Raw genomic sequence first — 12,064 nt, 5'->3', positions numbered from 1 at the left:
TAGTCTCGATCTCCTGACCTCATGATCTTCCCGCTTCAACCTCTCAAAGTACTGGGATTACAGGCATGAGCCACTGCGCCAGGCCAAGTTTTAGTAAATTTAAAAGTATAGTAGTCCCTCCTTCTTCATGGAGGATATGTTCCAAGACTCCCAGTGGGTGCCTAACACTGAAGATAGTACTAAACCCTGTATGCACTATGTTCTTCCTATGTACATATACCTAAAATAAAGTTTAATTTATAAATTGAGCACAGTAAGAGATTAACAAAAATTATAATAAAAAAGAACAATTATATCAATAGACTGTAATAAAAGTTATGTGAATGTAGTCTCTCTCTTTGCTGTCAAAGTTCTGTAATATTTTCAGACCATGGTTGACTATGGGTAAATAAAACTGCAGAAAGAGAAACTGCAGATAAAAAGGGACAACTGTATTCAAGTAATACAAAATAAATTTTATGATGATTATAAAATTAGCAATCAATAGCAGAAAGTTCTCTTTAAAAATTCTCCAAAGTCTGAGAATTAAGAAACCTACAGCAAAGTTAAAGAAGAACTAAAACAGGAGATTAGAATATTTTGAGCTGAATGAAAAATGAAAACAATATAAAAGCAATTCTGTTATGCAGCCAAAGCATTGCTTAGAGGGAAATTTATAACCTAAAAATCCTGAAAACCTGTAACATCTTTAAAAACTAGAAAATTAAGAGAAGATTGAACCTAAAGTAAGTGTAACAAAGGAAATAATAAACACAAGAGCAGAAACTACTAAAATATGAAATAGAATAACAATAGAGAAAATCAATAACACCAAATGCTGATACTCTTATAAATCTTTTGTCAGACTAACCAGGAAAACAAAGTAAGACACAAATTGTCAATATCAAGAATAACAGAGGAAAGACCTCTGTAGAACTTACACATATTATAACAGGAAAATAAGGAAATATTACAAACAAATTTATGTCAATTTCTACAGTTTAGGTGAAATAGACAAATTCTTTGAAAAACTGAAACTACTAAAGCTCTGCAAGAAGATGTAGATATACATATATGTATAAACATGATATATATAGACATAGATATGTATAGATTCATGAACATTCTGTATCTATTAAAGAAACTGAATCTGTGGTTCAAAACCTTCCCACAAAGAAAACTTCAGGTGCATGTAACTTTACTGGTGATTTTTTTCAAACATTTAAGAAGAAAAAATACCAATTTTACACAAACTTCACCAAAAAGCTAAAAAAGAAGGAATACTTTCCAACTTATTTTATGAGGCCAGCATTGGCCTAATAGCACAACCAGATAAAGGCATTAAAAGAAGCCTACAGCAACTCAAGATTTAGCCAATCAAGAAATAGTGCTGAAACAATTGGATATCTAAATGCAAATCAAAACCCCAAACCAAAAGTATTTTTTGAAATTTTTAAACATTATGTTTTTTACCATATAAAATATTAACTCCAAATGGATATTCCTAAATATAAAGCCAAAAATTATAAAGCTTCTGCAAGAAAACACATGAGAATAATCTTTCTCATCTTAAATTAGGCAAAGATTTCTTAGATTTAGGACCAAAAGCATGGTTCATAAAGGATACATTGATAAACTGAACTTTATTAAATTATGAACAGTCTTCTGTTTTCTGGAAGACATTGTTAAGAAAACATGGACACGGCCGGGCACAGTGGCTCATCCTTGTAATCTCAGCACTTTGGGAGGCCAAGGCAGGCAGATCACCTGCGGTCAGGAGTTCAAGGCCAGCCTGGCCAACATGGTGAAACTCTGTCTCTGTGAAAAATACAAAAATTAGCCAGGCTTGATGGCAGATGTCTCTAATCCCAGCTACTCGGGAGGCTGAGGCAGGAGAATCACTTGAAACCTGGTGGTGGAGATTGCAGTGAGCCGAGATCTCGTCACTGTACTCCAGCCTGGGCAACAAGTAAGACTCTGTCAAAAGAAAGAAAGAGAGAGAAAGAGAAAGAAAAAGAAAAGAAAAAAGAAAAGATAAGAAGGATACATAGAGAAGGACAACACACACAGGGACCTATCAGAGGGTGAAGGATGGATGAAAGAAGATGATCAGGGAAAGTAACTAATGGGTACTAGGATTAATACCAGGGTGATGAAATAATCTGTACAACAAACCCCCATGACACAAATTTACCTGTACATGTACCCCTGAACTTAAAAGTTAAAAAAAGAAAGCAAATGAAAAAGACATACCACAGACTGTCAGAAAATGTTTGCAAATCAAATATTGGATAGAGGACTTGTTTTCAGAAAATATAAAGAATTTTCAAAACTCAACAATAAGAAAGCAAATAACCAAATAAAGGAATGGGCAAGAGATCCAATCAACTCTTCACTAAAGAAAATAGAAGAATGGCAAATAAGCACATGATAAGATGCACAGCATCATTAATAATTATAGAAAAGCAAATGAAAACCACAAGGGGCTACCCTTCTGCATACACAATGATAGTAAAAAACAAAACAAAATGGTAGTGCCAAATTCAGGCAAAGACGCAAAGTAAAATATATTGCTGGTATGAATGCAAAATGGGGAAGCTTATTTAGCAAACAGTTTGGTAGTTTCTGGTACTTTTAAATATCCATTTGCCATATACCCCAGAAATCTTACTCCTATTTATTTAAAGGAAGTGAAAAATTATGTTCACATAAAAAATCCGAACTCAAATGTTTATTATAGCTTTTTTTGTGATCACCCCAAACTGGAAGCAACCAAAATGCCCTCAGTTGGTGAATGGATGAGCATTGTGTAGATATACAATGGAATAAAACTTAGTAATAAAAAGAAACAAACTGTATTAGTAGGGTTCTCAACAGGGACAGAATTAATAGGATATATGTATATAGGAAAGGGAGTTTATTAAAGAGAATTGATTCACATGATCACAAGGTAAAGTTCTACAATAGGCCATCTGCAAGTTGAGGAGCAAGGAAGCCAGTGGTGGATCAGTCTGAGTTGCAAAACCTCTAAAGTAGGGAAGCCAACAGTGCAGCCTTCAGTCTGTGGCCAAAGGCCCAAGAGCCCCTGGCAAACCCCTAGCATAAGTCCAAGAGTCCAAAAGCTGAAGAACTTGGAGTTTGATGTTCAAGAGCAGAGAGCATCCAGCACGGGAGAAAGTTGAAGACTGGAAGACTCAGCAAGTCTGCTCTTTCCAACTTCTTCCACCTGCTTTATTCTAGATGCACTGACAGCTGATTAGATGGTGCCAACCCAGATTGAGGGTGGGTCTGCCTCTCCCAGTCCACTGACTCAAATGTTAATCTCCTTTGGCAACACCTTCACAGACACACCCAGGAACAATACCGAGGCAGGGGAATCACTTGAACCGGGGAGCCGGAGGTTGCAATGAGCCAAGATCGCACCACTGTGATTTGGTTATTTGCTTTCTTATTGTTGAGTTTCGAAAATTCTTTATATTTTCTGAAAACAAGTCCTCTATCCAGTATTTGATTTGCAAATATTTGCATCTTTCAATCCAATCAAGTTGACACTCAATATTAACTGTCACATAAACTATGGATGTTTGTACCAACATGGCAGAATCTCGCATTACTTTGCTAGGGCTGTAGTAATAAAGTCACAAAAACTAGGCGTCTTAAACAGCAGAAATTTATTGTGTCATAATTCTGGAGACTGAAAGTCTGAGATCATGGTGTCAGCAGGGTTGGTCCTTCTGAGGACTGAGAGGCAGAAACTGTTAAATACATCTCCCCTAGCTTCTGGTAAATTTCTGATAATTTCAGGGTTACTTTGCTTGTAGAAGCATCATCCCAATCTCAGCCTTCATTTCCCCATGGCATTTTTCCTATGTGCAAGTTTGTATCCAAATTCCTCTCTTTTATAAGGACACCAGCCATGTGGGACTAGGGCTCACTCTGCTCCAGTATGACTTCATATTAGCTTAACAATTACATCTATAATGTTCCTCTTTCCTATGGATATATAGTAATATATAAACAATGGAATATTATTTAGCCATGCAAAAGAATGAAATCCTACCACTTTTGACAATATGGATAAAACTTGAGGGTTTTGTACTAAGTGAAATAAGTTAGACAAAGAAAAAAATGATCTCACTTATATGTGGAATTGAAAGAAGTTGAACTCATAGAAACAATAGAATGCCAGGTGCTGGGGAGCTGGGGGAGAATGGGAGATGTTGGTCAAAGGCACAATCTTTCAGTCATTAAGATGAATACATTCTGGGGATCTAGTATTCAGCATTCAGCATTGTGACCGTAGTTAACAATACTGTATGGTACACTTCAAATTTGTTCAGAGTAGATCTTAAATGTTCTTACCACCTGCCCCCTCCCACCAGTGGTAACAATGGGGTATTAGATGTGTTAACTAACTTGATCGTCATAATCATTTCACAATACATATGAATATCAAAGTGTCATATTATACACGTTAAATTTGTCCAATCTATGTCAATTATAACTCAATAAAGCTGGGGAAAAATAAATAGGAGCAGAAGTCTCCATATACATTAATTTTTATACAACATTGTTTTAATTAAAAGAATTAGAAATAGTTTAAATGTTCATCGATAAAAGAATGTTCAAAATGTATTACCAATGTTTTGGAATACAAAACACAACTGTTAAAATGTTGTACACCTTAAATGCATGTGAGTTATTTTTGTCAATTATTCTGCAATGATGCTAACATTTAAAAAAAAAAAAGTGCTGGGCATAGCGGCCAATGTCTGTAAACTCAGCACTTTGGGAGGCCGAGGCAGGCAGGCAGATCGCTTGAGCTTAGGAAGTTCAAGACCAGCCTGAGCAACATGGAACAACCGTGTCTCTACAAAACATACAAAAATTAGCCAGGTGTGGTAGTGCCACGACTGTAGTCCCAGCTACTTGGGAGGCTGAGGTGGGATGAACACTTGAGCCCAGGAAATTGAGGCTGCAGTGGTTACAACACTGCACTCCAGCCTGGGCCACAGAGCCAGACCCTGTCTCTCTCACACACACACAATAATAATAATAATAAAATAGAGTCAATCAATGATGTAGATTGGTAGATTTTCATTTATTCATACAGAAGATGTTCATGGTACAGCGGACTAATGCTACAGTGCCTACCAAGACCAGATGCTTCTTTGCTTGAGAACTGCAGTATGTTATTCTCAATTCCTAATACAAATGGAGTCAAAGAGATTCTCCCTTCTGAGAATATGGAATTGGGGTAAGAGGTGCTAGTTTATCTGAAATAGTTACAAGAGCGAACTGTGAGAAAGCCAAAACGATGAGAGTAGTGACAAGCAAAGGTGCAAAAAGAAGCAGACATGAGTTTCAGTGGCCCCAGAGAAAGATAGAAGAACGTAATGGAAGACAGTGGTTTTCCCAGCATCTCTTCTTCTTGATGCCGGTATTTCTTGATGCCCAGCTGTTCTCTCATCCTTGGGTTTTCTGAAAGATCTCCTATTCTTTATTTCAAATATCCTTTACTCCGTTAGCTAATCTTTCCTTTGGAGTTGAAAGATTACATGAAAAATAATGCTTAACAGTTTACGGACCCCCAAAAATGTCAGAGAAAGAGAGAGAATGAGTAAGCTTGGGCAGGAGATATACAAACCTGCTACTAGTGATTATCTGTAGATGGTGGGGCCATAGATGATTTTATTTTTTTAATACATACCTTAAATTTAGACATGAGCAGTTGTTCAATACATAGACACAGGAATGTGCCATTCCATCCCAGTTTAATTATTACAAGTGAAAATTATTAATGGTTTGATATTTACAGTAGTTTAGAATTCTTAATTATATCACTGAAGTATCATATTTTTCACTTTCAAGTAGTTTTGTTTGCAATGATAATGCATTTCTTTTTATAATAAAAGACCCATAAACATGTTTAAAATAAGTTAAAATCAATTTGTTGTGAATATAGCCTGTTTTCAGATATGAAATTATATCACATTTTCTCATTTCCTTGTAACACTGTGCCATTTCCCCTTGAAAATACATTTTCTTTTAAGTTGATGCTTTCCTTAGCTTCAGTGATCTTTATACAAGCAGAAGGAAAAATGTTTGTTATTATCTTCCTTTAAGTAAATCTTCTTATAGTGAAGAATTTCCTAAAGGAGCTCTAATTTCTTTGCTTTTATTGGAATTTATCATATTTAATATTGTTTCATTAAATCATAGGCATTTTTGATAACCATGTTTTTTAAAAAATTACTACTTAAATTTCTCACTCTTCAAATGACAAGAATAACACCTAGAAATGTTAAGTTACAGAGATCACCTTCAAGTTGATATTCTGTTTTCTAGAAGAAAATAACTTTGTATGATGTGATGTCTCAGGATATTAGACATTTCTTCTATCAGTGGCATCATTTCAATAGCTATAATTTATTCCTTTTTAATATATGAATTTGTAATCTGTGTATCTAAGTGTATCTAAGTGTACATCTAATGTATATTCTAGAATGCATTTGCTCTTCCTCCCCTTCCCATCCTTCCTCCTGCTCCCCCTTTTTCTCCTCTTCTCTTTCTACTTTCTCCTCCACTTTTAAATAAGATTTGACATACCAAGCTGTTTTAAGATCTTGTCTCCACTTCATTTTGAATTGGGTAACAAGTGAGACAAATAAGACATTGTCTTGATAGGGAGTTGACATTTGTTTTTCTTACTCTATTTACGTTTACAAATTTGAGAACTCAATACCTCACATTTGCCAAGTATGCTCTGTGAGCCAGATACTGAACTAAGTGATTTATACTGATTATTTTGTTTAAACCTCCCATCAACTGCTTAGAGTCTCCTATGGAAACTGAGGTCCAAATAACTTTTTCAAAAATTCAAACAGATTGCAAGAGGTAGACTTCTGATTCAAATACAGGTGGTCTGATTTCAGAGACCAGACTCAAAATCTGGGAAACTAAATTTGGTCAAGGTTATAAGGCTCAATATTTTAACTTCTCAGGTAGGAAACCAGTATTTCTAGATCACCACAATGATCTGCAGATGTCTGCCATTGTGACCACTGACCAAGTTTCTCTACTGGGAGAGGCTACTATGGACTCCAGCCGGGAACGAGGACATCCAGTTAGATCGAATTCAGAATGCTAAATTACTCTTCTAGCTGTGTGTGTGTGTGTGTGTGTGTGTGTGTGTGTGTGTGTGTTTTCTTTTTTTTTTTTTTTTTTTTGAGACAAAGTCTCACTCTGTCACCCAGGCTGGAGTGCAGTGGCGCGATCTCGGCTCATTGCAACCTCAGCCTCCCAGGTTCATGCAATTCTTGTGCCTCAGCCGCCAGAATAGCTAGAATTACAGGCGCCCACCACCATGCCCGGTTAATTTTTATAGTTTTGGTAGAGATGGGGTTTCATCATTTTGGCCAGGCAGGTCTCAAACTCCTGACCTCAGGTGATCCACCAGCCTTGGCCTCCCAAGGTGCTGGGATTACAGGCGTGACCCACCATGCCTGGCCTCAGGGTAATCTTTTAAGGAAAATTTCTTATCTGCCTTGAAGCTCAAGATGTTCTATGCTAGAAACTAAGCGACTATATATATTTTTAAAAAGTTCTTTCTTAAGGCTATTTACTTAGCTCCATAAGCAATATTAAAGGTTATGTTGCTTGCACTGATTGTTTATGGCAGTCACATAAATTCATGTGGACTGACAGTTTTGTCCTGTTCTCCAATGACCTTGAAGTGTAGATAAATATGATTTCTTAAAATAATTAAATATATGCTATATTAATACCTTTATTTAGGCATATGATGGCCAAAAGATACTTCTTTGCTTTTGTCATATTAATGTGGAAAAGGCAGAAATATTTGGGGCTGATAAATATATTATTTGGTGGTGAATCACTTGAGCCCAGGAGATGGAGGCTGTAGGTTGTGCCACTGCATTCTAGCCTGGGTGACAGAATAAGACACCATCTCAAAAAAGAAGACGAAAAAAGTATATATATATATATGTGTGTGTGTGTGTGTATGTTACATACGTGTGTGTATATATGTGTGTGTGTATATGTATATATATATGGTGGCTAGCATATTTTTACTTTTATTATGCCATGGCTAGCATATTTTTACTTTTATTATGCCACTAGATGTTAGTTAATCATACATCATAAATTACAGTGTTGTTTATAATTAAAAAAAGAAACCTAAATCTCTAGCAATATGGAATTGGTTAAGTAGTTTCATTCATAAGATGGGAAACTACACTCACTAAAATGTATTCAGATGAATAATCACATTAAAAAGCTTCATGAGATGTAATTAAATGGAAAAATATTTAAAAACACTATAAATCAGGATATGGGATATGAGTTTATTTTTGTAAAACCATCAACAAGTTAAGATATTTGCCCTAGTGTGAGTTATTTTACCTTTTCTTTTTGCACATTTCTATTTTTAACACCCAATATTTTTTTTTTTTTTTTTTTTTTTTTTTTTTGAGATGGGAGTCTCACTCTGTTGACCAGGATGGAGTACAGTGGTGTGATCTCTGCTCACTGCAACCTCTGCTTCCCAGGTTCCAGCGATTCTTCTGCTTCAGTCTCCCTAGTGGCTGGTATATTACAGGCACTGGCCACCATGCCTGGCTAATTTTTGTATTTTTAGTAGAGACAGGGTTTTGCCATGTTGGCCAGGCTGGTCTTGAACTCCTGATCTCAGGTGATCCGCTCGCCTCAGCCTCCCAAAATGTTGGGATTATGGGCATGAGCCACCATACTCGGCTGTATATTCTGTATAAGAAAAAATAACATACATAAAATATTACTTGAGGACAATGTATAAGGAGATAATCTGTGTTTGAAAGAAACACTGTTTAGGTGTTGTGAATGAAAGACAAAAATAAAAGTACCTCACTGAAAATGCTATCTTAAGATTTTATTTATGCAAATATTTGGGACCATATGCTGAACCTTACAGTTTGGCATGCAAATATCTCAGCTTCTAATTGCCCGGGGATCTTGCCTAGATTTGGGAGATTATTTAAAGTTATTTCCAATAACCAAGACCATTTAGTCTGTAAAACCAAGTAGAGTACAAAAAGATACCCCAAATAGAAATAGGTCAATTACATTATCAAAACCTATGGGCTTGTTATATTATTAATTATCTTTAAGGCCAATTATGTCAGTATGCATTTGTATTATATCAAGAATAAAATTTATATCAGTTTGAATCAGAAATCTTATTCTTTCTAAGGCCCATCTGGCCATTTGCAATCTTACTCATTGGCAGCTTTCCAAAGAAGGTCCAACATGCTCCAAAAGAGGTCTTCCCTTACAAATGCAAACAAACATTAAAACAATGTTGTCAATACACATGAAATGCTCAAACCTCTTACAAAGCTCCCATTGCTCTTAAAGTCTAAAACTTTAAAAATGATGTATAAGGTCCTCTGGGATCCGTTGCCTGCTTGTTCCCCTGGTCACCTCTGTCATGATTCCCCAGTCTCTCAGTACACTCAGACCAAACTGGATTTATTTCAGTTATTTGATTGTGTCACACTTTCTTGTCTCTGTGCCTTTGTATGTGCAATTTCCTCTGCCTAGAACATCCTGCCCCTTCTTCAGGCCAACTCCTGCTCAAATTTGAGATCTGGGCTGAGATATTCCACTTCTTCCAGGAACTACATGGTATCACTTTTTAGAGGGATGGTCCTGCAAATCACCTTTCCACTTAGATATGGGATAGAGACCGAGTCTCTCCTTCTCCATGGCATCACCTGGTCCTAACAAAAGAGGTATAGAAGGTGCACATTGAAAATGCAATGATCAATATCAATGCAGTTTCTTTTGAAATATTATGCTGTTTTCAGAAGATCCATGTGATTTTTCCCTCACTATGATGTGTGGGAAAGAGACAAATTTGAAGTTGAAAGGGTTCTTGTCCTTGGATGTTGAGTTAACTGTGATTGTGATCTGTCATTGGTTTCGCAACTTCCCCAACTGTCAGTTTCTTCAGTTGTAAATGGGGCCAATAAAGATATTCTTAATCTCTTCCTTAGATTAACTTCAAGAACAAATTAACTCACGCATAGGAAGTCATTCTTTAAATGAGCAAGTACCATGTATATGTCAGTTATTTTATTGACATTTTCAGTGGAAATCTCATTTGCCAGTGGTGGTGCTTGGATTGTCACTTCCCCTAAGGCTCTATCATCATCTCTCAACAAGGAACACCAAATGGATATATAAACTGAGTAAAAATAGTATTCTTGCTCTGCAAGCACATTGTCATACATCCTGAACAATACATACATTCCAAATATGTTTCTGCTCCTCTTATAATGAAATTGGAGAGACATCGCCATCTTTATGTTCAAAATTCTTATAGCTACAAGCATGTGGTAAACAAAATCCATCCCAAACAGATTAGCTTAAAATTAAATTGGCCAAATCTATTAAGGAAATTTTATAGTTGCCTTATTGTGTTACTGGATATCATTAAAGTGAAGTTCTGAATGGTGAAGAAAACATAATTTGGCATAACATTAACACCAAGATCAGTAGAAGAAATGCTGTTTTTAAATAGATTTTTAAAAGGGTTATCTGTAGAAAAATCTCCATTTAGGAAATGGTGACATTTGATAATTAAAACCTGGGATATCTCCAAAAGCAAAGATTCAAAATGGTTTTCTCTATTGCCTGTCAAATGTTCTCTTTTAAATAAGGTGTGTTGGGCTCATTGATTTGCATGAATTCTTCTGGTTTCTGTCATCTGAAAGTGTGTCTTGCAACTTTGAATGTTTATGTGCTTTGACAGTTCCCATCTGCTGTGGGGATGGCTAAGTGCCCCAAGCCTCATTGGCAGAACTCAGTTAAATCTTTGTATTTAGTTAATAGTTTTAAATTATTTATAGTGATTCTGTCTCATTGATTATTAGATAAAATTTTTGATGACACAAGAATGTCCTGTCAACATTTTCCAGATTATAAATAAATGCAAAGTAAAATGACACACACTTCTTATTAACATGAACTTTCTGATATTGTGATCATAATTAGTTGATCTGTGGCCACTTCATTAGTTATTTATTTATTCGCCTTCATTTTCCACTTCATTTTGGAAAGGATTTGTGGTGGTGTCATTTCATCAAGAAAAGTACAAGGGCAACCGTATCAGAAATGTCAATTCAGATATCGTCGACCTTGAAAAAAATCACCCTTCGAACTCTACAGATCTAAAACTCTTAACTATGACAGGAAGGCTTTCAACAAGAAAGGAGCTAGGGGAGAGGTAAGTTAGGAATGCCAACCCTATCAAGATGGCTGGCCCACATGCCATAGATGCCGGCTTTTTATGTTCAGGTCATGAGTATTCAAGCTCTGTGTATCACTGTACTTACTACACTTTACTTACTTGGGAAGTGACTGTGTGATAGTCATTAGCCATAGCTCTGGGAAAAAATAGAAAACACAGAGAAGGTACCTGTCCTCATGGAGTTTACATATTAATGGGACAAATCAGACAATAAATATGCCCCAAAACTTTTTTTAAGAGTTCTTCGAAGAAAATAGAGTGAGCTGTGGTTGAGAACAATGGAGATCAGACAGGGAGATATCCTCCTGCATAAATCTCTAGTTTCTCTGTTCTTGTCTTTGCTGTAAAATACCCTTTCAAATTAGAATGTGAGGTTGTGATCTTATATAAACAATGGACACTACACCTCTGATGTTATAATTTTAGGTCCAATTTTTTCTCTAGTGTAAAATTATCATTTTTCCTAATTGTAAGGTTGCCTAGTGAAAATTTTTCTTTTCATCTTCCTTTACTAGTTTTTGTAAGAACAAAGTAATGCTATGTAGTATTTATTGAAATTTTATCATGGTAAGCATGAGCTATGTCATTTAATCTCCACATATTATGAGATAGGTAGATATTATTTCTAGTCATTTTGTACAAATATACAAATAGTAGAACGTACAACTCTTAAGTCTACAACTTACAACATTTTACAAAGTGAATATACCTATGTAATTCCCCCAGATGAAATTATCTGTTCCTAGATAATGCTGGTGAGTACCCCTCCAGATC

Source organism: Homo sapiens, chromosome 2 (assembly GCF_000001405.40).
Source record: "Homo sapiens chromosome 2, GRCh38.p14 Primary Assembly".
Lineage (NCBI taxonomy): Eukaryota > Metazoa > Chordata > Mammalia > Primates > Hominidae > Homo > Homo sapiens.
The sequence above is the reverse complement of the archived record's forward strand: the minus strand, read 5'-3'. Positions refer to the sequence as shown.